Raw genomic sequence first — 27,544 nt, 5'->3', positions numbered from 1 at the left:
AAAAATTAAGCTCATCTGTGAACTCTGTAATCTCATATGGTATTATTTAAAACAGGATTAATCTTTTATGCTTTTTAGAATTTTGGTTCACCATATTTTTAGCTCCAGAGTTTTTTGTGTAAACTTTATGAGTGATTCTGCATTTCACATGGCCTTTCTATTATGCCTTAAAACTTCAGATCACTGGAAATTACATACAGAACGTGGAAACAGGTTGTTGTGCTTTTGCTGTTTGTCATATTCATTATCGTCTATTTTAAGGGGTCATAACATTGACTGCTAATTACATATAATCAGATTTCTGAGGAGAGGTGAAATGAGTGTGTTATTGCTGGTGTATAACTTGCTCCAACTTCACAGTAAGTTTGAATGACTCATGGTTAGGTTTTACTTGAGAAGGTTGAATATACAGGAACTGTTGATTAATCAAGTAGTGGTCATAAAAATAGATTTTAGTATTAAATACCTTTTTTTTTTAACCTAGACTATCATAGAAAACATGGATATGAGAAAAAGTGACCGAATTGCCTAACTTGATAATAAAAAAGTGAAGTGAATTTATTTGCAGTGAATGTCTCTTGGGATACTGGCAGCTGAATATAAGATAGATCTCATTAAATTTAGTGTATGTGCTTGCTACCAGATTTATCAAGTTCTAGGTATTAGAAGTGTCAGTCCTTATTTTTTCCAGTAAGTTTGTTGTTTTGTTCTTAATTTTGCCCTGTCTACAAAGATATACCCCTACAAATAGTTACTATGATCTGAAAATGAGAGTTTTGCCATCCTAAATATCAGTGTAACTGAATATATAAAGAGAACTTGTACCTGAGAAACTGTTATACCTTGCTATAACAAAATCTATATACTAAACTTACTTATTCTGTTACTGATGTGTAATTTCTGTTGCCATGAAGGTAAGCAGAATTGGACATGATACGGGCACGGAACTGTACATTTAAGTATCAGAAAGCCAAAGAGAAGTATTTGGGAGATTGAGACATAGCTGTAGCTTTAACCTGATTTAACCCTTAGGAGCTCATTGGCACTTTCAGGTCTCACACGTAGTCCTGTGTACATTCTGATAGGCTGCGATTCATAGATAGGCTGTCTTTATAGCCTAATTGCTGAGACACTGGTGCTTCCTAATTTGCCAAGCTGCAAGAACTTCTTATTGCATGTGGGCTGTACCAGTCAGGGATTAGATCAATAAATGTGCCATTTCAGAGGAAAGAAAATGAACATAATTCAGGTCATAAAGGGATAGCTTAATTCTCTTACGTCAGTATCTCTAAAGCTGTAATAGGCCAGTGGCCTCATACAGAAAACTACCCTTTTCAAAACATGGGTATAATCAGATTAGTGTTGGTAATACTGAACATTTTTTGAAGGGGGAGTAACATTTTAATTAGGCTAGTAATCAAACTCTGGTCAGAGCAGATTTTGTCCTATTTATTGAAACTTTTATATTGCCTTTCAAATAATACCACTTGATACTAAGAATCAGTATTTCTGCAAATCAGAAAAATAGAGATTTTGGTGTTGATGATCTTTGTAAAGTTTACATTATTTAGGGAAAGGGTATTCCAGTCAAATTATTATTATTATTATTAATTTTGAATGGAGTTTTGCTCTTGTTGCCCAGGTTGAAGTGCAATGGCGCGATCTTGGCTCACCGTAAGCTCCGCCTCCCGGGTTCAAGTGAGGCTTGTGCCTAGCCTCCCAAGTAGCTGGGATTACAGGCATGCATCACCACTCCCATCTAATTTTTGTATTATTAGTAGAGACGGGGTTTCTCCATGTTGGTAAGGCTGGTCTTGTACCTCCAACCTCAGGTGATCTGCCTGCCTCAGCCTCCCAAAGTGTTAGGATTACAGGCGTGAGCCACTGTAAATTATTCCAGTCAAATTATTTTTAATTGCTGCATTTCCAAGTAATAGAATTAAAAGACATAAAATAAGAAAATAGTTTTAGCCTAGGTATGGAAAAAAGTCTGATTTACTATAATATCTCATGTTTTTTTTCCATTAAGCTGTTTATATGTAAGCAACATTCTAAACTGGTTTTTTGTTTTGTTTGTTTGTTTGAGACAAACTGTCACTGAGGTTGGGAGTGCAGCAGCATGATCTTGGCTCACTGCAGCTTCAACCTCCTGGGCTCAAGGGGTCCTCCCACCTCAGCCTCCCAAGTAGCTAGAGCTACAGGCACGCACTACCATGCCTAGCTATTTTTTATTATTATTATTTTTTGTAGAGACAGGGATAAGATCTCCCTGTGTTGCCCAGGCTGGTCTTGAACTCTTCAGGTTCAAGTGATCCCCCTGCCTCACCTTCCCAAAGTGTTGGGATTAGAGGCATGAGCCACTGCACCTGGCCATAAACAAGTTCTTAAATACCCAGTACACAATATTGTTTTTGTTTGTTTGTTTTTGACACAGAGTATCGTTCTGTTGCCCAAGCTGGAGTGCAGTGGTGTGATGTCGGCTCACTGCAACCTCAGCCTCCCAGGTTCAAGCGATTCTCATGCCTCAGCCTCCTGAGTAGCTGGGATTACAGATGCCCGCCATCACGCCTGGCTAATTTTTGTATTTTTAGTAGAGATGGGGTTTCGCCATGTTGGCTAGACTGGTCTTGAACTCCTGATCTCAAGTGATCCACCCACCTCGGCCTCCCAAAGTGCTGGGATTATAGGCGTGAGCCACCGCGCCTGGCCACGATAATGTTTTTTGTTAGCTACCATGATTTTAAAAGACCCATACAGAGAAAAAATCTTGGTTCTACCAAGAGCTAGTAGCATATGTTCAAGTTGTTAATGTACTGTGTACTGGATGGTTATTTTTAATATTGCACTTCTTATTTTTCGCTCTTCACAGAAACGATAGATAATTCCCAAGGAGCTTACCAAGAGGCATTTGATATAAGCAAGAAAGAGATGCAACCCACACACCCAATCCGCCTGGGGCTTGCTCTTAACTTTTCTGTATTTTACTATGAGATTCTTAATAACCCAGAGCTTGCCTGCACGCTGGCTAAAACGGTAAGATGTGTGTCCAGGAAATACGTACTTTAGCTACAGTTATTTGAGATACCAGGTATGTTAATTTATAGGTATTTTACTTGGATACCCAGGGATGATTTCTACTATATTTATTTTGAAATCTCCTCTTTTTCTTCCCATCATGATTACCTACTCCTACCCCTGACACCTTACTCTACCCTATGATTATAAGCAGTGATGTGCCTACAGAGCATACTGAGCAGAGTAATCAAAGAAGGATAAATGATGTTAAGAAGGAAACATAAAAGATTAGAAAGTCATGCCTGCCAGGTTTGGTTACTAGAATAGCTGTGCATCAGCCACATTCCTCAAAGTGGCTCAAAACGAGAGAATAAAGAGGACCCTGTAGAGATAAGTACTACTTAACTGGAAAGAAGTCTGTTAAGCATTGCTGCTGTTCCGTTGTCCTGTGAAAGAACCAAGACATGCTTGTTTACTAAGTGTATAGTTTTATAAAATTCCAGTCATACTCATAAGTTCTTAAACTGGGAGTGTGAGAGAATGGTTCTGTTGAGTTTGTTGATGGTAGAACATAAGGTGGGTGTTCACTTATTTTGTAAAAATGGTTTGTAATTGTAGAATAACCAGTTTTCGTCAATGCACATATTTTACCATGGATATTAATATTTATCAGGCTTTTGATGAGGCCATTGCTGAACTTGATACACTGAATGAAGACTCATACAAAGACAGCACCCTCATCATGCAGTTGCTTAGAGACAACCTAACAGTGAGTTGTTTACTCTTTTAATTTTATTTTCTTTTCAGAAACAAAAGTATTTATATTTTATTTTGGACTTCGTGTCTTTTAGGGAAGATACATACGAGCTGAAAGTATGAGATACGTGTTAGTATTTTATGGGACGAACATTATTTTGTAGGCAGGTTTTCAAGTTGAATAGGCATTTTATCAGACCTTCCTGAGAAGGTTCTAACATGATAGGAACTCAATATTAATATTACTATTTCATTGGGATGAAGATGTTGATAAATTATGTTAATAAAGAGCTTATCAAGTTTCAATATTTTGGGGCAAATCAGCTATAGCCAGTTAGGGACTATCTAAATATCTACGCTTTCTTAAAATCACAGGAAGTACCTTGTTCTAATAAAAGTTTACTTTGTGAATTGTGCATGATGTTCTACAAGCATTTAGGGAGTAAACCTATACCTAAACTTACTCCTTCTCTGCTTCTAGGCAAAAGCTTCTGTTTTGTTTGTCTTTTTCTCCCTGCTTCTTAGATAGGCAATTGATAAAGGAAGTAATCAAGAAAAAGTACAGCTTAAGCTTTACTTTAACATTCTTTTGTAGGTTCAAGTAAATTTGATAGGTAAAATCTTAGACTTCACAGAAGGAAAAAGAAGGGAACAAATCTTTTAATATAGATCTCGTCCTCCCAGCCCCCTAGTTTGGTGCTTTATCATTTACTAGATAGGATTTTTTAAATATTAGCACCATGTCTATTCAATTTTGCTGAATAGGGTAATTATGAATCCACTGAAAGGGGAACGAAGACCCTGCATTTCTAGCCATGAGAAGTGCCTGTGGTTGTGAGGGGACAATGGAAGATGATCAGCAAATAGTTCTACAGAGGAAGAGCAAATTAGGCAGTTATACCTCTTCCCAGATGTATACCTTGGAGCTAACTATCTTTTAATCGGTTTTGTTTTGTTATCTCTATTATGGAGACAGGTCTTTGGGGGATTTTGTTTTGTTTGTTTTTATTTAGTATCTTCATAATAATCTAAGGATTATGTAAGATTCTGGCTTTTCTGAAATTAACACTAATGTCTTGCTGTTGGTCTAATAAAGTGCAATTATAGTCAATAAATACTGACTTCTCTTCTTCACTTCATCTTCCTATCCTAAAATCAGAGAGATCCTGGAAGATCCACTTAGTTTTAACATTCTGTCTAATTCAAGAACCCTGTCTATACATGCACACATTGCTTCCCTGTAGCTTCCATCACCCACTTCTATTTAATTCTTGGAGAAACACAAAGTAAGTCTGCTTTTCCTATAGTTTAGCCCTTCACACACTTGAAAATTGTTAACCATGATTGTGGCTTTTTCCTCCCTGTGAAAATGTTTTGCTTTATTAGTCTGTAATAATAATGCAGTAGTGCTTTCAAGAAGAGCATTGGGCTGCTGGGAATAGAGACTATCACTTTGCTTATTCTGAAAGTAGAGTGCCTTTTTAAAAAAGTTTCTCTTTTTTTTTTTTTTTTTTGAGAAAGGATCTCACCCTGTTGCCTAGGCTGGAGTGCAGTGTCATAATCATGGATCACTCCAGCCTCAACCTCCTGGATTCAAGCAGTCCTCCTGCCTCAGCCTCCTGAGTAGTTAGGACTGTAGGCACACACCACCCCGTACCTGGCCAATTTTGTTTTTGAAATTTTTTGTAGACGTGGGATCTTGCTATGTTGTCCAGGCTGTTGAACTCCTGGCCTCATGCGATCTTCTCATCTTGGCCTCCCTACGTGCTGAGATTACAGGCGTGAGCCACTGTGCCTGGCCAAATGCTTTTTAAATAAAAAGGAAGCTATAAAACCATGCTCCAGTGGTATATGTATGTATGTATGTATGTCATTTTGTAAGTGCATAGTGAAAGGTCTGCAAGGATGTACTTTGGGAAGGTGATGGTCTTTGGGGTTTTGAGAGAGAACTTCAGTCTTAGTCAAGATCTCCATTGTTTGAGGAATTTACTACTCTTGTAGTTAATTTTGATATAACAATACTACTTAGTGTAATTGCCTAATCTAGAAATAGTAACTTAATATGATTCTTCTTTTTCTAGCTTTGGACATCAGACAGTGCAGGAGAAGAATGTGATGCGGCAGAAGGGGCTGAAAACTAAATCCATACAGGGTGTCATCCTTCTTTCCTTCAAGAAACCTTTTTACACATCTCCATTCCTTATTCCACTTGGATTTCCTATAGCAAAGAAACCCATTCATGTGTATGGAATCAACTGTTTATAGTCTTTTCACACTGCAGCTTTGGGAAAACTTCATTCCTTGATTTGTGTTTGTCTTGGCCTTCCTGGTGTGCAGTACTGCTGTAGAAAAGTATTAATAGCTTCATTTCATATAAACATAAGTAACTCCCAAACACTTATGTAGAGGACTAAAAATGTATCTGGTATTTAAGTAATCTGAACCAGTTCTGCAAGTGACTGTGTTTTGTATTACTGTGAAAATAAGAAAATGTAGTTAATTACAATTTAAAGAGTATTCCACATAACTTCTTAATTTCTACATTCCCTCCCTTACTCTTCGGGGGTTTCCTTTCAGTAAGCAACTTTTCCATGCTCTTAATGTATTCCTTTTTAGTAGGAATCCGGAAGTATTAGATTGAATGGAAAAGCACTTGCCATCTCTGTCTAGGGGTCACAAATTGAAATGGCTCCTGTATCACATACGGAGGTCTTGTGTATCTGTGGCAACAGGGAGTTTCCTTATTCACTCTTTATTTGCTGCTGTTTAAGTTGCCAACCTCCCCTCCCAATAAAAATTCACTTACACCTCCTGCCTTTGTAGTTCTGGTATTCACTTTACTATGTGATAGAAGTAGCATGTTGCTGCCAGAATACAAGCATTGCTTTTGGCAAATTAAAGTGCATGTCATTTCTTAATACACTAGAAAGGGGAAATAAATTAAAGTACACAAGTCCAAGTCTAAAACTTTAGTACTTTTCCATGCAGATTTGTGCACATGTGAGAGGGTGTCCAGTTTGTCTAGTGATTGTTATTTAGAGAGTTGGACCACTATTGTGTGTTGCTAATCATTGACTGTAGTCCCAAAAAAGCCTTGTGAAAATGTTATGCCCTATGTAACAGCAGAGTAACATAAAATAAAAGTACATTTTATAAACCATTTACTATGGCTTTGTAACAATTGCATACCCATATTTTAAGGGACAGGTGAATTTACTACTTTCTAAAGTTTATTGATACTTCCCTTTTATGTAAAATGTAGTAGTGATACCTATATTTCCACATTGTGCATTGTGACACACTTGTCTAGGGATGCCTGGAAGTGTATAAAATTGGACTGCATTTCTTAGAGTGTTTTACTATAGATCAGTCTCATGGGCCATCTCTTCCTCAGATGTAAATGATATCTGGTTAAGTGTTATATGGAATAAAGTGGACATTTTAAAACTAGCAAAGTTAATTATGTGATTGTGAGTGCCTTGGCTGTTATTAGAATTGTGCTTCAGTGGATATTCAAAAGGAATGTAAGAGTTCAGACACAGATACTCCTCAACTTAAAATGGGGCTACACCCTGATAAACCCATTGCAAGTTGAAAATACGAAGTCAAAACTGCACTGAATACACCTGACCTAATGAACATTATAGCTTAACCTATCCTACATTAAATGTGCCCAGAACACTTAGCCCTACAGTTGGGCAAAATCAAAGAACATGAAGCCTACTTTATACTAAAGCGTTGGATCTCTCAGGTAATTTGTTGAACACTGAAAGTGAAAACCATTGATTGTATAGGTACTTGAAGTATGCTTTCTACTGAATGCCTGTCATTTCCACACCATTGTAAAGTCAAAAAATTAAGTTGGGGACTCTATGCTTCTGTTTGTAAACATTCAATCTTACTATTAGTGAGTTCAAAATAATTTTGGTTTTATAGTATCACAATAGCTATTATTTTACTAACCAATCTCAGATTAGTAAAATAACTGAGACTGAATGACTTGAGAACTGATTTTTAAGTCAGAAGATAATCTGAAAAAATAGCTATGTAGGATTCTTCTTGATCCTAAAATGTGAATATGAAACAAGGCTTCATTTATAGTTGTTTTCTTTTCTTTTCTTTTTTCCCTTTTTTTTTTTTTTTTTTTTTTTTGAGACAGAGTTTCACTCTGTTGCCCAGGCTAAGAGTGCAGTGGTGCGATCTTGGCTCACCACAACCTCCGCCTTCTGGGTTCAACAGATTCTCCTGCCTCAGCCTCCCGAGTAGCTGGGATTACAGGCACCCGCCACCACACCCGGCTAATTTTTTTTATTTTTAGTAGAGACGGGGTTTCACCATGTTGGCCAGGCTGGTCTTGAACTCCTGACCTCAGGTGATCCACCTGCCTGAGCTTCCCAAAATGCTAGGATTACAGGCATGAGCCACCACGCCCGACCTATACTTGTTTTCTAAGGGGAAATGAAAAGGCAGAATTCAGTAGGACTCTGGTATCCCAAAATTTAAATCAGGACACTACTTTTTAAATAAAAATCATAGTAAAAATAACATTTTGAATTGAGAAAAAATGATCATTTCTTAAGACCAGTAAAATGGTATGTGCTGAGTAATGAATTATGTTATCAAAGTGGCCTTAAAGAATAGATTATTTTCTAGCCAGGCGCGTTGGCTCATGCCTGTAATCCCAGCACTATGGGAGGCTGAGGCGGGCAGATCATTTGAGGTCAGGAGGTCAAGACCAGCCTGGCCAATATGGTGAAACCCTGTCTCTATTAAAAATACAAAAATTAGGCTGGGCACAGTGGCTCACACCTGTAATCCCAGCACTTTGGGAGGTTGAGGCGGGTGGATCACTTGAGGTCAGGAGTTCAAGACCAGCCTGGCCAACATAGTGAAACGCCATCTCTACTGAAAATACAAAAAAATGGCTGGGTGCAGTGGCTCACGCCTGTCATCCCAGCACTTTGGGAAGCCGAGGTGGGTGGATCACAAGGTCAGGAGTTTGAGACCAGCCTGGCCAACATGGTTAAACCCCATCTCTACTAAAAATAGAAGAAAAGTAGTGAGGCATGGTGGTGGGCACCTGTAATCCCAGCTACTCAGGAGGCTGAGGTAGGAGAATTGCTTGAACCTGGGAGGCAGAGGTTGCAGTGAGCCGAGATCGCGCCACAGCACTCCAGCCTGGGTGACAGAGCAAGACTCCGTCTTGGGGGAAAAAAAATAGCCAGGTGTGGTGGCACATGCCTGTAATCCCAGCTACTCAGGAGGCTGAGGCAGGAGAATCACTTGAGTCTGCAGGGCAGAGGTTGCAGTGAGCTGAGATTGTGCCACTGCACTCCAGCCTGGGTGACAGGAAGACTCTGTCTCAAAAAATAATGAAAATAAAAATTCAAAAATTAGCCAGCCTTGGTGGTATAGGCCTGTAATCCCAGCTACTTGGGAGGCTGAGGCAGCAGAATCGCTTGAATCTGGGAGGCGGAGGTTGCAGTGAGCGGAGATCACGCCACTGCACTCCAGCCTGGGTGACAGAGCAAGACTGTCTCAAAAAAGAAAAAAAAAAAAAAAGATTATTCTCAGCATTTAGTCCCAACTTGAAACGTCTCCTTGCTTTAGAAAAGCTCTGCATCTTTTAAAAGCGGGCTCAGCCTGTGGTATCTCCTTTGGACTGCTTTTTGGGCTTCCTTGCACTAGAGGAAGAGGATATAGAATACCGCTAAGAACTCAGTAGGAGAGAGGACACCTTTCCTGAGGAAAAGAGTGTAAGTAAAGTTTTGGGATGGGGGGAGGATTTAAATCTATCAGCTTTGTCTTTAAGTTTTTAAATTATTTTCTGAGATCAGAAATTTTAAATATTGCACCTATTTTGTAGTTAGAACTTGGCAGTTTTTTCTTAATGGCATTTAGGTAGATATTAATAATAATTTTTTAAATTGCATTCTAACAGAATAGAATCGAGAGATTTTTATTTCAACATATTTGTACATTCATTTGTTAATCTTTGGTTGGCAAAGATCAGTAAGTTCTTTTGACACGGTTGGTAGAATATACTCATACCTTGTAGCTTAAATATGTATCAGTAGAGACTTCTTAAAAAATGGTGAAAATATTAGGAAGGCCATTTAAAGATGCATAAAAACTACAACTGAAGAGTAAAATAATTTGAGAAGATCAGAATCTTGGTCACTGATTTTGAGATGGGCTAATTTTTAGGAGTTGAGTCATTCAGAAATATTAGGCCTATTACAGACGAACAGACGTGACTTTTTGTCCAATGATGAGTCTCACTGTAGGTTCATGTCATTAGATATATTTTAAAAGTAACAATCATTCTTTATGGTTTAGAAAGACTTTCACTTTAAACTGATGAAGGCAATTTTGCATGTTTACTTTTTTTTTTTTTTTTTTTTTGAGACGGAGTTTCACTCTTGTTGCCCAGGCTGGAGTGCAATGGCACAAACTCAGCTCACTGCAGCCTCTACCTCACGGGTTCAAACGATTCTCCTCCCTCAGCCTCCTGAGTAGCTGGGATTACAGGTGCCCTCCACCGCGCATGGCTAATTTTTGTAGTTTTAGTAGAGATGGGGTTTCGCCATGTTGGCCAGGCTGGTCTTGAACTTGTGACCTCAGGTGATCTGCCCACCTTGGCCCCCCAAAGTGCTGAGATTACAGGTGTGAGCCACCGCGCCTGACTGCAATTTTGCATGTTTTATTCTGCCTTATATCTCTATCACTCTCCCATGTAGAATTTGTATTTGGTAAGCTTTGCCTTCTCTGGAATTAATGTTATTTAGCTAAACAGTTTACGTGTAGCAAGAACTGCATATACAGCAGTGATTTTTACTGTATCTTTTGTGTTCAGCAAATATTTAGTGTTGTTGAAATTGCCTACAGTAGTTAGTACGGTAACGTGCTGTACGTGTTTGTAGCCTAGGAATATAGGCTTTACTACATAGCCTAGGTGTGTAGTAGGCTCTGCCATGTACTTGTGTAAGTACATCCTGTGATATTTGCACAACGATGAAGTCGCCTAACGAGGCGTTTTTCAGAACATACTCCTGTTAAGTGACACCACTGTGTAGATGTCAAGATCATCATGAAATCGAATTTGGGGCAAACTTGCCAGTTTACTCCTTAACCCACACTTCATTTTAAAGTGGCTATGCTGGCCAAGCACTGTGGCTCGTGCCTGTAATCCCAGCACTTCAGGAGACCGAGGTGGGTGGACTGCTTGAGCCTAGGAGTTTGAGACCAGCCGGGCAACATGGCAAAACCCATCTCTACAAAAAATACAAAAATTAGCGGGGCATAGTGGTGCACGCCTGTGGTCCTCGCTATTCAGGGGGCTGAGGTGGGAAGATTGCTTAAGCCCGAAAGATTGAGGCTGCAGTGTGCCACTGCACTCCAGCCTGAGCAACAGAATGAGACAGTGTCTCAAAAAAAAAAAATTTCTATGCCAGCTAGGTGCAGTGGCATGACCCTGTTGTCCCAGCTATGCTGAGGTAGGAAGATCACTTGAGCCCAGGAGTTTGGGGCTGTGGTGCTTGATGATCATGCCTGTGAATAGCTACTGCACTCCAGCTTGAGCAATGCAAAGAGACCCTGTCTCTTTCAGAAGAAAAAAAAAGAAAAGGTTATGCCTTCAGAGCTAATGCTTTGGAGGTGGCAAGTAATAATACCCGGGAGGAAATGCTGGAAACTGCCCCTAAAATTATAACACCTTAGCATGTTTATACAGCCCTTTTAGTTAGAAGGAACCAAGGTTTATTGAAGTCTTTTTGGATACCTGGTCATGTACTATGCACATTCATATTTAATCATCTCAAGTGCCCTTAAGTGACAGAACATCTGATCAGAAAAAAATGAAATTATGGCTGGGTGTGGTGGCTCACGCCTGTAATCCCAGCACTTTGGGAGGCCGAGGCGGGCGGATCATGAGGTCAGGAGATCGAGACCATCCTGGCTAACACGGTGAATCCCCGTCTCTACTAAAAATACAAAAAAAATTAGCCGGGCATGGTGGCAGGCTCCTGTAGTCTCAGCTACTCGGGACGCTGAGGCAGGAGAATGGCGTGAACCCGGCAGGTGGAGCTTGCAGTGAGCTGAGATCACACCACTGTACTGCAGCCTGGGCGACAAAGCGAGACTCCGTCTCAAAAAAAAAGAAATGAAATTATTAGCTCAAAGTTATGTATGTGAGCCTTGTGCCATGGCTCACGCCTATAATCCCAGTACTTTGGGACGCCAAGGCAGGTGGATCTTTTGAGCCCGGGAGTTTGAGACCAGTGGACAACATGGCAAAACCCTGCCTCTACAAAAATACTAGCCAGGCATGGTGATGCACGCCTGTAGTCCCAGCTGCTTGCCAGACTGAGGTGGGAGGATCACCTGAGCCCGGGAGGTCAAGGCTGTGATAAGCTGTGATTGCACCACTGCAGTCCAGCCCCAGTGATAGAGTGAGACCCTGTCCTAAAACAAAAACATTTATGTACGTGTCTATTAGGTAGCCAACTAGAGGTTGAACTCAAGACGCCATACCAAGTTAATTTCTGTGCCACTATTGCCTGCTGTGAGTACTTCACCATCCTTACTATGGCAAGTAAATAACGCTATTCTTTTTTTTTTTCTAGCATCTTTGGAGATGATTTTTGTTTTTCTTTTCTTTGACTTTCCCCTTAGTCTGTCAGTTTTGCCCTTTGGGGAAAACCTCAAAAGGGGCAGTGTTACAACATCCTGGGCCTAACTCTCATCTTACGATTATAGAAATGAGCCCAAAGAGACTGCAGACTTGGCCAAGGTCCTAGCAACTAGCTAGTGTTTGGCCTGAAACTAGACAAGAATCAGAGGCAAATAACTCCAAATCTCAATCTCTACTGGCTAAATTAAAAAGAATTCTTAATGAAAATTGTTTTTTTTCCTTGCCACTCAGAAAATGAAGGCTTTAGTTCATATTTATCTGGTAAGTTTTTTTTTTTTTTAAGGCATGAGCCCTCTAGTTACTTTCTGAAAGTAAGGAAATAAGCATTTATCATCCAGCATTGCTTGTCACATTTATTTTACATGCTTTACACCAAAGGCCCTTATATAATCAATGTTATTTGCATGCTCAATGCTGCAATATAGTGGAAAGGCCATCAGCCAGGGTCCCGGGCCAATCTTCCCACTCACTGGCAAGCTACACGGAATCTTGGGGCCAGCATCTTCACTTCTTAATAGGCATGTTTTTTAGGCATCCTCACAAATAAAACTCAGTTTGATAACAAAGTTTTATTAGAAGGTTTCTCTTGATTTCTGGAGGGGGAAACTGAAGCACCGAAGTTAGTGACATGACCTAGGACTTGGGCTTCATAGCCAAGTAGCGGTGTCAGGATTTGAACCTGGGCAGTCCTACTTCAAAGTTAGTACTCTTAGCAACTGTGTTATGTTGCCTTTTTTTTTTTTTTTTTAAGATTACAGCAATTGATCAGTGCTTTTTAACCTCTAGTCATGACCAACTGGTAACAAACTTCATGGGTGACAGCCAACTTTTTTAATAGAAGGGAAAATATGTAGCATGTTATAAGGGAAATAATACTTTGTGAAACCAATTTCAGTTTATACATGTATGAAAAGTGGGTTGTGATGTCAAATTGATTTCAAATAAGTTTGAAAGCCATTTCTTATGGATGGTCTTAAAGATTTCTGCAATCCATCTCCTAGGACTGTAAGTTGGTCATAATTTTACTGTTGTGAATAATTCCAGAAGTTTTTTTCATGATGGCATTGTTGAGTCTCTTCCACCTACAGCACTGTGACAATTTCTACTTCAGAATTTGCTGAGCCATGAGTATCCCTTAATGCCCTTCAGAAGAAAGGGGAGACTTCCACTTTTGAGAGTGATATTTTCATTACACATTACTGAATGGGTTATGCAGAGTTTAACTTTCTTATCTGTTCTTTGTCCTCAGACACTATTTCTGCAACATATCATAGCCTGGGCCTCCACAGAAGCCATGGTGGAGTTAGAATTTATTCAGCTAGCAAAGAGGCTAATAAGGGCTTTCTTGGGATACGAATTATTAAGTAGGCTTGAAACTGGGTTGAGCCCTGAGTAAAAGTCAGGCAATACAACGGGCCTTACTACACTAGGCTCCTAAATTCTTTTGAGCTGTAACACAGTTTCTTCAGGAATATCTGGGGTTCTTACTCAAGTGCTTATCAAAAGAGTTGTTTAATTACTGTAATTTTAGCTAAAGACTTTAGGAATTTTCTTGCTGATTTGACATGTGAAATTGCATACTGTAGACTTGCAATGCTAGGCTGTGGCAAGCTGGCTTAATTCATTTTATTTGGATGTTTACTTTGCTCTTGCTTATGACGTGCTACTGAGGGCAGTAGCTGCCACTGCTAACTAGGCTACTTAGGATGCCCTGTCATGGTTATTTTTTTTTTAATAGTAGAAACTTGCCCATGTAAAAGAACTACACATTTTGCCAGGCACGGTGGCTCATGTCTGTAATCCCAACAGTTTGGGAGGCCGAGGCAGGCAGATACCTGAGGTCAGGAGTTCGAGACCAGCTGGCCAACATGGTGAAACTCCGCCTCTACTAAAAATACAAAAATTAGCCAGGCGTAGTGGCATGCATCTGTCGTCCCAGCTACTCAGGAGACTGAGGCAGGAGAGTGGCGTGAACCTGGGAGGTGGAGCTTGCCGTGAGCCAAGATCGCACCACTGCACTCCAGCCTGGGTGACAGGGCAAGACTCCGTCTCAAAAAAAAAAAAAAAAAAAGAAAAAGAAAGAAAGAAAGAAATAATTGGCCGGGCGCGGTGGCTCACACCTGTAATCCCAGCACTTTGGGAGGCCGAAGTGGGCAGATCAGAAAGTCAGGAGATCAAGACCAGTCTGGCCAATATGGTGAAACCCTGTCTCTACTAAAAATACAAAAATTAGCCAGGCATGGTGGCAGGTGCCTGTAGTCCCAGCTACTCAGGAAGCTGAGGCAGGAGAATTGCTTGAACCCGGGAGGTGGAGGTTGTAGTGAGCCGAGATCACGCCACTGCACTCCAGCCTGGGTGACAGGGCAAGACTGTCTCAAAAAAAAAAAAAAAAAAAAAAAAGACACATTTTTCTTCCTGTGACAGCTTACACTTGAGGATGTATAGATAACAATGTTGAAAACTAGAAAAAGTCCCGGGTGCGGTGGCTCACGCTTATAATCCCAGCACTTTGGGAGGCCGAGGCGGGCAGATCACCTGAGGTCAGCCTGGCGAACATGGTGAAACCCCCGTCTCTATAAAAAAAAATAAAAAATTAGCCAGTGTGGTGGCAGGTGCCTGTAATCACAGCTACTTGGGAGGCTGAGACAGGAGAATTGCTTGAACCCGGGGGGCGGAGGTTGCAGTGAGCCGAGATTGTGCCATTGCACTCCAGCCCTGGCAACAAGAGTGAAACTCCGTCTCCAAAAAAAAAGAAAACTAGAAAAAGTTTAAGTCCAACTGAGATTTAACTTCCAGTGTAGCCTGGTTTTCTTTCTCCTGTCAGAGGTATAGAGGAGTTAAAGCACTGAATTAAGCTAGATTAACCTTCACTTTCCTGTGGAAGTGTGTACTGGAAGCTGGCATTCATTGCAAAGATCTCTGCTATTCAGTAATCTTGTGGGCTCTACTCTCCACCATTGTATGGGAGTAACTCAGGTCCTTTAGTCCTTGAAGGAAGCCAGACTATTTGTTTCTCATTTTCTACTGACATTACCAGGTTTTTTACCTATCTGAAATTTGTTCTGAGAGTTCTTTCTCCATTCTAGCCCTGTGGGTCTTTAGATAAGGCTCTGTGTTTCAGCCATGTCGCCATGCCATTCTCCTTGACAGGTGGTGCTTTTTTGGGGGGGGTTGGGGAGGAGGGTAGAGACAAGGTCTCACTATGTTGCCCAGGGTGGTCTTGAACTCCTGGCCTTAAGCAGTCTTCCCACCTCGGCCTCCCAAAGTGCTGGGATTACAGATGTGAGCTACTGTACCCAGCCTGTGTATGTGATGTTCTTTCAGTTATTCCGGAACTTGGTACGCACCTTGGAGGATTCATTGGCAAGATTTTGGAGACCACTGTGTTCTAATACTGGTGGCAACATCACAACTTGGGAGCTAGGAAAATAAATGGGACAAGATTATTAACGCTTTTTGGAGCTAGACTTGTCTATTCCCACAACTATGTAACATGAGAGATTGTGTGATCTAGAGATAGAAAGGACCAGCCAGAAACTGGGTGCAGTGGCTCATGCCTGTAATCCCAGCACTTTGGGAGGCCAAGGCAGGCGGATCACTTGAGGTCAGGATTTCGAGACCAGCCTGGCCAACATGGTGAAACCCCGTTTCTACTAGAAATACAAAAGTTAGCTGGGCATGGTGGCGTGCACCTGTAATCCCAGCTGCTTGGGAGGCTGAGGCAGGAGAATTGCCTGAACCTGGGAGGCGGAGGTTGCAGTGAGCCGAGATCGTGCCACTGCACTCCAGCCTGGGTAACAGAGCGAGACTCCATCTCAAAAAAAAAAGAGAAAGAAAACCAGCCTAGAAGTCAAAGATCTGGCTTCCATGGTCATTCACATACTTGTTAAATATATTGAGCGCTTGTTATGAGTCAGGGACTGAAGTAGGTACCAGAACTTTAAACTTCACTACTTTATAGCTATGGCTTTAATCTCACTGAGTTTCTGTTTTACCTTTTACAGATAAAAGGTGGACAATCTATCTAGCCTGCAAGCCAATGTGTGAAAGTATTTCCAAGTGTAAAGGGCTGTGGAATGTATGTAGTGGAACACTCAAGTGGGAAGGAAGTTAGCAGGATAGCCTAATTTTGGAACTAGAAAGTTCTAATAAAGTGAAACCAGTCTTGTGGATAAGAAAATCAACAACACTGAGCAGACCTATTGCCCTAGATTTTCAAGGGCATAGTCACAAAAAGAAAATGACGGTGTAACTTGGGAATGCGAAGTTAAAAAAAAAAAAAGACAATTAAGCTGTGGTTTTGCTTCTAATTAGCACTCTCTGATGGAATACAATGGGAAAGGTCATTCTGTTGAAATAAGTAAAGAAAAATCAGGACCCAGAGAACAAGTGCTAAAAGGAAATGCCTTTGACCAAAAACTCAGTCACTTACCAGCAGTTAAGTCTTGACTAAGGAGTTTTGATTCAGTAAGTCTGAGGTAGGGCCCCATAGAGCATTTGTATTTTTAACAAATTGATGCTGATGCTGCTGATCAGGACCTGGTACTTTGAGAACCACTGCTTTAAGGAAGCCTCAATAATGAAGGCCAAAGTAAAGATCGGGTGAGTTTCACAGCAGAGTAGTAAAAATAAGTCAGAGGGCTGGTTGTGTCTGTAGTCCCAGCTACCAGCCACTAGGGAGGCTGAGGTGGGAGGATCATGAGGCCAGGAGTTCAAGGCTACCCTGCACTATGATAGTGCCTATGAATAGCCACTGTACTCCAGCCTGGGCAACATAGCGAGACCTCATCCCAAAAAATAAAAATAAGTCAAAGGATTTTGGGTCTGAGTCCAGCACAGTGTTGAAATCTGTGCCCGAGGGTCTTCCTCTTCACCAACTGAAATTAATCGGGATATATATATATGTAACAGCATAGGTGGCTCGTGTTAACTCTGTCCCCACCCCCTTTATTTAGTCACTGCCCATGTTGACTCTTTTGTATTAAAGTAAAAATACAGTTTTATTCAAATCCTGACCAGATAGATTTCGTGATGTGAAAAGATGCCAATGAGATGAGTTTGAGAACTGGTCCTTAAGGTCTGTAGTAAAGAGGCCAGGGATCTGACTGGCAGAGAAATATGAGGTCAGACATCTGCATTTAGTATTCATGTGAGGTCAGTGTTGATGGAGATTAGCCTAAAGCTTGAGACAGGAAACCAGGGATATATACAGAGGATGGGCAGGAGGCTCAGCAACTTGTTTGGGCATCATGTGAGCTGGCTAATGGTTGTAAAGGTCAGGTGAGTCAAAGTAAGAACCCAACTGTCCTATTGCAAGTTAGAGCATTTGAGTTCATTCCCTCTATTCCTCTTCACTGGTCCCTCCAGTTTCTACATGGTTGATTTAAAGCAAACATGAAAAAGCTTTCACTCTTTTTTTAAAGACATAATAGTAATAATATGTAGGCATTTAGTATTGTGTTGATGCATTTCATTTGTTTTTAGGGTTCAGGGCTGTAGAGAAAGAATCAGCAGAAAACTATTTCAGGCCAAACCACAAGTGTTTCTTGCAGGGGAACAGATAACCTGAAGTGATCTCTGCAAGTCTTGCTTAAATTTCCAGTAGATGGCATAGTGAAAAGGGTAGAGAAGTAGCATTTTAGTCTTTGTTGGCCATTTCCAATCCTGTGTTTGGCAGCAAAGCATTTGAAGACATAAAAGAGTTGGCCTTGCCTCTCAAGTTTATAGTGTGGGGAGACAAAATGAACACATGGGACATCACACACGCTAAAACTCAATGCCCGTTCCATGGCGGCAGCTCAGATGCAATCCAGGAATGAAACATACACAGTTTGTAAAGAGAACTGTCAGTTTCAGAATGGGAGAAGAGTGCATCCTGGAGGAACGCGTAAGAAGTAGGATGATTCAAATAGCATAGTATGTTGTCCAGGAGTTTTTTTTAACCACCTGCTACTAGGAGTTCCCAAAGTAATAGGAACTTCCTTAGATGGTTGTTAATGAAGGGAAATGAAGTCAGATGTCTCTGGATTTGAATCTTGACTCTTCATAGTTGAGTAACTTTGGACAAGTCCCCTAATCTGTAAAACAGGCATAATGTTTCAAAGGATCGTTATAAGACTATATGAGATCATTTACGCATTTTGCATGCAACAGATATTTGATGATGACAGCCATCAGGCTAGGTGAACAGAACAGAAGGACCCTGTGCCTAGCACGTAATAGGAACTCAGTAGATACCTCCTAAATGTACCAGGTTGTTTCATGCCTTTATAGTATTTTAGTTCTTTTTATTCTTTTTTCTTTTTTTCTTTTTCAGATGGAGTCTCGCTCTGTTGCCCAGGCTGGAGTGCAGTGGTGTGATCTTGGCTCACTGCAACCTCTGCCTCCCGGGTTCAAGTGATTCTCCTGCCTCAGCCTCCCGAGTAGCTGGGATTACAGGTGTGTGCCACCACGCCCAGCTAATTTTTGTATTTTTGGTAGAGATGGGGTTTCACCATGTTGGTCAGGCTGGTCTCGAACTCCTGACCTCATGATCTGCCTGCCTCGTCCTCCCAAAGTGTTGGGATTACAGGTGTGAGCCATGGCAACCGGTCTTTAATTCTTTATTATGCGGTAATTTATTTTTCTTTGCTGAAACATTTCAAAGCAAATAACACATTATGTTCTCTCATTACTACATAATTCAGCATACATTGCTAAAGAAATATGCAGCCTGGCACAGTGGTTCACGCCTGTAATCCCAGCACTTTGGGAGGCCAAGCTTAGTGGATCACCTGAGGTCAGGAGTTTGAGACCAGCCTGACCAACATGGTGAAACAAATATGTATATAAATATATTTATATAGCTGGGCGTGGTGGTGCACACCTGTAATCCCAGCTACTCGGGAGGCTGAGGCAGGAGAATCACTTGAATCCGGAAGGTGGAGGTTGCAGTGAGCCGAGATCACACCACTGCACTCCAGCCTGGGCGACAGAGCAAGAATCCATCTCAAAAAGAAAAAAAGAAAAAAAATTAAAATACTATAAAGGCATGAAACAACCAGGTACATTTAGGAGGTATCTACTGAGCTCCTATTATGTGCTAGGCACAGGGTCCTTCTGTTCTGTTCACCTAGCCTGATGGCTGTCATCATCAAATATTTGTTGCATGCAAAATGCGTAAATGATCTCATATAGTCCTATAACAATCCTTTGAAGCATTATGCCTATTTTACAGATTAGGGGACTTGTCCAAAGTTACTCAACTATGAAGAGTCAAGATTCAAATCCGGGAGACGGAGGTTACAATGAGCCGAGATCGTGCCACTGCACTCTAGCCTGGGCAACAGAGCAAGACTCCATCTTAAAATAAATTGGGAGACCGAGGTGGGTGGATCACGAGGTCAGGAGTTCGAGATGAGCCTGACCAACATGGTGAAACCCCGTCTCTACTAAAAATACAAAAATTAGGCGTGTGCCTGTAATCCCAGCTACTCAGGAGGCTGAGGCAGGAGAATTGTTGGAACCCAGGATGCGGAGGTTACAGTGAGCTGAGATCGTGCCACTGCACTCCAGCCTGGGCAACAGAGTGAGACTCCATCTCAAAAAAAAAAAAAAAAGCTAGATTGGTACATTTCCCTGCCTCAAAAAGAAATGCCTGAGAAATGGATTCTCATGAAGTTCACTTTGATATTAGTCTCCCTTACTAGTGATGGTTTTGCAAAATTAAAGATCTTTAGGAGATGATTGGAGGGCTTCACCAGAGATAGGATCTGATTCTTTACAGCTTGGTCCCTGTAGTGCTATTCAAGTTATTTCTCATCCTTTTCCTGTTTTCAGATCAATTGGCTGTAGGACTTAAAGTTAGAAGGAACTCTAGTGGACACTGCTGATATTTGCCTACTGAACATCTGAAAACTTTGTTCCCCCGTGCTGTTGTATGAGTCTTAGCAGGAGACAGAGCCAGAGTCCCATCACCTGGCCATTGGAATGCAGGCTTGTGAACTAAGTTCAGCTGACTGGATGCTCCCACCCAGGACTCAGAATCCTGAGGGAAGGGATAAAAAAGGCAGGAATGTTTGAGGATATACTCTTGGTGATATGGACAGTCCAGTGGTGTCTAGAAGGCTGTATTTCACGGTAGCAGTGCTGGTGGTGATGTCCTTCCAGACCACTGGGCATGGCTTTGGCTGAGTCTCCACTACCCATTTCCCATGACTCCTGTTTTCTGAGTCTGGTGTTTCAGCTTTCTCATCAATTATGTGAACTGCTAGATAGCCTTCCAGTAAGCTCTTTTTCTGCTTAGCGTGAATTGGTTCCTTTTGTGCATGACTAGAAGGCCTTAAGTGATAAAGGGTTTGGAAGATTTGGCTTGCCCTTGACTTCTGAATTTTCAGCCAAGAATTCCTTCCTGCTGTCCAGATAGCAGAATGAGCAGCTTCCCTAAAGTGAAGGAAAGCCTATTGCTAACATATTCCATCCTAAGCGAAGAAACTTCCTGATTGCTTGGGGGGAGATATTACTTCTAATGTAATAATGGGTACTAATGATTTTCTTCTGAGTCCTTTATAGGTTAAAATCAGATGAAGAGAGCTTATATACCCAAATTAAGCTGCGCCACCCCCCTACTTTCTGGGGTTTTTTGTTTTGTTTTGTTTTCTTTGTTTTTGGGTATTTTTTTTTTTTTTTTGAGACTGAGTCTCACTCTGTCACCCAGGCTGGAGTGCAGTGGCATGATCTCGGCTCACTGCAACCTTTGCCTCCCAGGTTCAAGCGATTCTCATGCCTCAGCCTCCCGAGTACCTGGGATTACAGGCACCTGCCACCATGCCCGGCTTATTTTTTGTATTTTTAGTAGAGATGGGGTTTCATGATGTTGTCCAGGCTGGTCTCAAACTCCTGACCTCAAGTGATCTGCCCACTTTGGCCTCCCAAAGTGCTGGGATTACAGGCGTGAGCCACCGTGCCGGGCCAGGGTTTTTTGTTTGTTTTGAGGCAGGGTACAGCTCTGTCACCCAGGTTGGAGTGCAGTGGTTCACAGCTCACTGCAACCTCCACCTGCTGAGCTAAAGTGATCCTCCCACCTCAGCCTCCCGAGTAGCTGGAACTACAGGCTCACACCATCACACCTGGCTAATTTTTGTGTTTTTTATAGAGATGAGGTTTTGCCATGTTGCCCAGGCTGGTCTCAAATTCTTGAGCCCAAGCGATCCATCCACCTTGGCCTCCCGAAATGCTGGGATTACAGGCATAAGCCACCATGACTGGCCTCATCCACCTACTTTCTTAAAGGCAAATATCCCTCTACCTCACAAAGAGTTAAGAGCTCTCATCTGTGTAGGAAAGCATTGTGCCCTCTCATGTCTCCCAAAATAGATGTCTAATTTCTTTGAATTTTGCCTTAAATGCTCAACTTGAATGCCTCGTTATTGAGACACTGGAGGTGGCAATTAGTGAATGACTAGCCTTCCAGCTGCTCCTTTTGAGTATATTGTGCTGGGTGGATGATCCTGTTACCAGCAAATGTTGGATTGCAAACTCATCTGTCAGGTGGCAATCAAAAACTAGCCTGGAGGCCTGGGCACAATAGCTTACACCTGTAATCCCAGCACTTTGGAATGCCAAGACAGGAGGATCGCTTGATCTCAGGGGTTCAAGACCAGCCTAGGCAACATAGTAAGACCCCTGTATCTACAAAATATAGAAAACAGCCAGGCCTAGTGGCATGCGCCTGTAGTCCCAGCTACTCAGGTGGTGGGGGGATCACTTAAGCCGGGGAGTTCCAGGCTACAGTGAGCTGTGATCATACTATTGCACTCCAGTTTGGGTGACAGAGCAAGACAGTTTCTTTTAAAAAAAAAAACAAAAAAAAACTAGCCTGGGCTGGGCATAGTGGCTCATATCTGTAATCTCAGCAATTTGGGAGGCCAAGGTGAGAGGATCACTTGAGGCCAGGAGTTTGAGACCAGCCTGGTCAACATGGCAAGACCCTGTCTCTACCAAAAAAAGAAGTAAAATAAAAATACTAACCTGCCTCTGACAGGGCCTGCCTGAAGAGATGCCACTGTTTAGGCAGTTGAGCCCTGGACTGGAAACCAGAAGGTCTGGGCTGTCATTCCTGCCCCTAACTTGCAGTGTGCTTTGGGAAAATCCCTGAGTCTCTTTTTCTGTAAACTCCAGGAAGACATAGGGTTCTACTAGACGGTTCAGGAGTGCTTCAAACCCAATAGCTCTGTAGACTCCAGGAAGACATAGGGTTCTACTAGACGGTTCAGGAGTGCTTCAAACCCAATAGCTCTGTAGACTCCAGGAAGACATAGGGTTCCATGAGAGGGTTCAGGAGTGCTTCAAACCCAATAGCTCTGTTTTCATCCATTTTATACAATACGATCCTGCAAAAGATTTATTTTGCAGATAGGGTACTATAGCTAAAAGAAAAAAACCCCAAAACACAAGAGCTTGAAAACATCATCGGACTAGATGGCAACCACATTCCTCTGTATATTTCAAATTCGCATCTATGTTATTAACTGAAGTTTTTATTTTTATTATAATTTTTTTTGAGATGGGTTCTTGCTATGTTGCCCAGGCTAATCTTGAACTCCTGGGCTCAAGCAATCCTTCTGCCTCAGCCTCCCTAAGTGCTGGGATTACAGGTGTGAGCCACTGTGCCCAGCCTAACTGAAGTTTTTATTTTTTATTTTTATTTTTTGAGACACAGTTTCGCTCTGTTGCCCAGGCTGGGGTGCAGTGGTGCGATCTCAGCTCACTGCAAGCTCCGCCTCCTGGGTTCACGCCATTCTCCTGCCTCAGCCTCCCCGAGTAACTGGGACTGCAAGTGCCTGCTACCACGCCTGGCTAATTTTTTTGTATTTTTAGTAGAGACAGGGTTTCACTGTGTTAGCCAGGATGGTCTTGATCTCCTGACCTCGTGATCTGCCCACCTCGGCCTCCCAAAGTGCTGGGATTACAGGTGTGAGCTACCGCGCCCGGCCCTGAAGTTTTTAATGGATGTATGCTTTCAAATTATTTATTGAACAAAGCAGAATGTAAATAATCAATATATAACTAGATAGATATGATGAGCAAACATTGCAGGCTGCCCATGATACCAATAATGAGCCAACGTTGTGATTCTGCACTAACTTACTTGTCTTTCAGAGTAAGCCAATAAATAAATGGTAATGTTCCCCCAACGTAACCTCTTTATATTCTGGTTCTTCAAGGTGATCAGTCCTTTGGAAGCAAAGCACAGAACTGCGTAGTGACCACACATATCAGAATTAGGGAACTTCTGACTCACACCTGTAATCCCAGCACTTTGGGAGGCTGAGGCCAGAGGACTGCTTGAGCCCAGGAGTTCAAGACCAGTCTGCGCAACATGGCAAAACCTCATGGTGGCATGTGCCTGTAGTCCCTGCTACTCTGTGGGCTGAGGTGGGAGGATCGCTTGAGCGCAGGAGGTCGAGGCTGCAGTAAACCATGTTCATACCACTGCATTCCAGCCTGGGCAACAAAGTGAGACCCTGTCTCAGAAAACAAAACAAAACAGAATTAGAGGACTTCTAAGCTCTATATTAAGCAGAGAGGCACACTGGCTGGGCAGTTCTTACTCGTTTTGCATACATAATCTGAACAGTATGGAAGCAAGAGTGCTTTTTTCTGTAGTCCAGGTTTTAAGATGTTTTCATAAGCAGATCTCATTGATCAGGATCCTAGAGCCTGCCCTCTGGGCTCCCAGTCGGAGTGCCACTGTTAGCTTGTAGCCTGTAAACTCTGGGGACATTTTTCACAATAGCTGCAATGTGAATGCCACCGTCCTCAAGGCAGGGGGTCTAGAGTAGCAGGTTAGCAGGTTCTTTTTTTTTTTTTTTTTTTTGAGATAGGGTTGCATTCTGTCACCCAGGATGGAGTGCAGTGGCACGATCTCAGCTCACTGCAGCCTCGACCTCTCAGGCTCAAGTGATCCTCCTGCCTCAGCCTCCTGAGTAGCTGTGACCACAGGCATCCACCACCACGCCCAGATTTTTGTAGATAAAAAATCTACAAAAATTTTTTTATTTTTTGTAGAGACAGGGTCTCACTATGTCTGGTCTTGAACTCCTGGGGTTAAGTGACCCTCCTGCCTCGGCCTCTCAAAGTACTGGGATTATAGTCATGAGCCACTGTGTCCAGCCCAGATTCTTTTTTTTTCTTTCTTTTTTTTTTTGAGACGGAGTCTTGGTCTGTCTGTTGTCCAGGCTGGAGTGCAGTGGTGCAATCTTGGTTCACTGCAACTTTTGCCTCCCGGGTTCAAGCGATTCTCCTGCCTCAGCCTCCCGAGCAGCTGGGGTTACAGGCACATGACACCACATCCAGTTAATTTTTTTTTTTTTTTTTGAGAAGGGGTTTTGCTCTTGTTGCCCAGGCTGGAGTACAATGGCGCCATCTCAGCTCACTGCAACCTCTGCTTCCCGGGTTCATGTGATTCTCCTGCCTCAGCCTCCTGAGTAGCTGAGATTATAGGCATGTGGCATCACGCCCTGCTCATTTTGTATTTTTAGTAGAGACAGGGTTTCTCCATGTTAGGCTGGTCTCGAACTCCCAACCTCAGGTGATCTGCCTGCCTCGGCCTCCCAAAGTGTTGAGATTACAGGCGTGAGCCACTGTGCCCAGCCAATTTTTGTATTTTTAGTACAGACAGTTTCACCTTGTTAGCCAGGTTGGTCTTGAACTTCTGACCTCAAGTGATACACCCACCTTGGCCTCCCAGAGTACTGGGATTATAGGTGTGAGCCACCGTGCCCGGCCCTGGCCCTGGACCTGGCCCCGTTTCTTAACAACCTGATAACCTCCTCTTTTTCCTAAGCGAGGTGGGTAAATGATCCATTCTTGTATAAGGATGGGTTTACCTGTCATCAGGCAGGACTCGCCAAGCCTAAATTTGTTTCTTGACTTAATAAACTTATTGAGCATTAACTATGGGCGGGGCACAACTCCACTGGGTTCCAACCAACATCTCTCTGGAAAATTACTGAGCAGTTTCAAAGATATAAAAGCCACTTACCCCAAGATCCTGACACTTTCCGTTTAGGGCCTTGATTACCCAGGGCTTTGCTGCTTTTCTTTCAGTCTCTCGCCGTGTGATCTCTTGGTCATCTTATGACTCACAAGAGGCTCCCTGCCAATGGGCAGGACCAGGGAGAGGAGAGAAGGAAAGCAGGCCAGGCACACAGCTACTTATTAGTAGCCTTGGCAAAGTGAGTGAGGAGGTTAAATTGCTGGGCTAGGTTGAAAATTGGGAATTACTTGTGGATTTTATTGTTTTCCCTCTAGCAAGGATAAACTGAAATTTGCCAAAAAGCAAAGAACAAATCATTCAAAACTGTTAACGAGTTACTATATTTTCCTGGGACAGATTCATAAAATAAGGTTCTTTAAATGGAGTCAGTCCAATACCAAGCTTTCTCTTGACAGTATGTCTGGCCCAGGACAAGGAGGACTTTACCCCAGGCTAAGAACAGAAGCAAAGAACATGGGGAGAGAGGAGCAGCATACATTTGGGTCCAAACCTACTGTGACTTGGTCTCAAGTCTTCATGGAGAAAACTGGATCAGGTGAAGAAGAAGAATTAAATCAGGCCAGGCACAGTGGCTCATGCCTGTGATCCCAGCACTTTAGGAGGCCAAGGCGGGAGGATTGCTTGAGCCCAGGAGTTTGAGAACAACCTGGGCAACAAGGCAAGACCCTATCTCTATAAAAAAATTAAAAAATTGGCTGGGTGCAGTGGCTCACGCCTGTAATCCCAGCACTTTGGGAGGCTGAGGTGGGTGGATCACCTGAGGTCGGGAGTTTGAGACCAACTTGGCCAACATGGTGAAACCCCATCTCTACTAAAAAAAAATATATATATATATACACACACAAAAATTAGCTGGATGTGGTGGTGCGCCTGTAATCCCAGCTACTCAGGAGGCTGAGGCAGGAGAATGGGGTGAACCTGGGAGGCAGAGGCTGCAGTGAGCTGAGATCACGCCACTGCACTCCAGCCTGGGCAACAGGGCGAGACTCCATCTCAAAAAAAAAAAAATTAGCTGGGCCTGGTAGCACGTGCCTGTGGTTACAGCTACTCAGGAGGCTGAGGTGGGAGGATCACTGAGCTCGGGAGGTCGAGGCTGCAGTGAGCCATGTTCACACCACTGCACTCCAGCCTGGGTGACAGAGCTAGACCCTGTCTCAAAAACAAAAAAGAATAATGATTAAATCACAAGAGATTTACTATCAGAACTCAGAAGTAGCCAGGAATAGAAAAAGATGTAATTTTACAGTCTCCCTGCTCTCTGCTGGTTACCTGACTCCATCACCCTATGTAAGAATGGCTTTGAAGGACCAAATATTTGCATAATTGACAGCTTGATTTTGGACTCTGGCCTCCAGAACTGTGACAAAATAAATGGGATCTTTAAAAGACTAAGACTACTAAAAAATGGTGCAGACCTGCAATCTACAAATCAGAATGTTCAGATGCCAGTGAGTAGAACGTTCAGATGCCAGTGAAGGATGCTTAGGTTTTTCATAGCTGGATACATAGAGCAAGGATATTCCAGGCAAGAGGAATTTCAGGAGAAAAGGCAGAAGGGCAGAAGGGGAGGTAACCTTAGGCTGTGTTCCATAAGCATTGTAATATTTTCTTAGCGCTGCTGTGATAAGTTGTCACAAACTGGATAGCTTAAAATAAGATAAATGGCCAGGTGCGGTGGCTCCACCTGTAATCCTAGCACTTTGGGAGGCCGCAGTGGGGTAGATTGCTTAAGCTCAGGAGCTTGAGACTAGCCTGGGCAACATGGGAAACCTTGTCTCTACCAAAACTAAAAAAACTACCCAGGCGTGGTGGCTGGCATGTGCCTGTAGTCCCTGCTACTCAGGAGGCTGAGGTGGGGGTATTGCTGGAGCCCAGGAAATCGAGGCTGCAGTGAGCCGAGATGGCGCCACTGCACTCCAGCCTGGGTGACAGAGCGAGAGAACCTGTCTCAAAAAAACAAAACAAACAAACCAAAAAATAAAAAATAAAAATAAATAAAATAAAAACCAAGAGAAATTTATTCTCTCCGTTCTAGAGGCCAG

At 42.4% G+C, this 27,544-nt stretch overlaps 1 protein-coding gene and 1 long non-coding RNA gene across 4 annotated transcripts in view; one reads left to right on the top strand and one right to left on the bottom strand.

Annotated features, from left to right (window-relative positions):
- YWHAQ (tyrosine 3-monooxygenase/tryptophan 5-monooxygenase activation protein theta) overlaps positions 1–7,231 on the top strand; it is a 47,031-nt gene extending 39,800 nt beyond the window's left edge. The window contains exons 4-6 of the mRNA NM_006826.4: positions 2,870–3,033; positions 3,689–3,784; positions 5,853–7,231. Coding sequence (NP_006817.1) covers positions 2,870–3,033; positions 3,689–3,784; positions 5,853–5,912 — 320 coding nt within the window. The 3' untranslated portion in view covers positions 5,913–7,231. The remainder of the gene's footprint in view (positions 1–2,869; positions 3,034–3,688; positions 3,785–5,852) is intronic.
- Positions 7,232–12,803: 5,572 nt separating this feature from the next.
- LOC101929643 (uncharacterized) lies at positions 12,804–26,116 on the bottom strand. 3 transcript variants are annotated; one of them, XR_001739277.1, is made up of 4 exons: positions 25,488–26,116; positions 22,472–22,833; positions 15,811–15,883; positions 15,006–15,036 (listed from the first exon to the last, which is right to left on the bottom strand). It is a non-coding gene; the product is annotated as an uncharacterized LOC101929643 (long non-coding RNA). The 3 variants fall into 3 exon arrangements; XR_241266.4 differs by having other exon boundaries at positions 12,804–18,540; XR_922777.3 differs by having other exon boundaries at positions 12,804–15,883.
- Between the last annotated feature and the right edge of the window lie 1,428 nt (positions 26,117–27,544).

Source organism: Homo sapiens, chromosome 2 (genome assembly GCF_000001405.40).
Source record: "Homo sapiens chromosome 2, GRCh38.p14 Primary Assembly".
Classification (NCBI taxonomy): Eukaryota; Metazoa; Chordata; class Mammalia; order Primates; family Hominidae; genus Homo; species Homo sapiens.
Note: the sequence above shows the minus strand (reverse complement) of the source record. Positions and strands in the feature narration are given on the sequence as shown.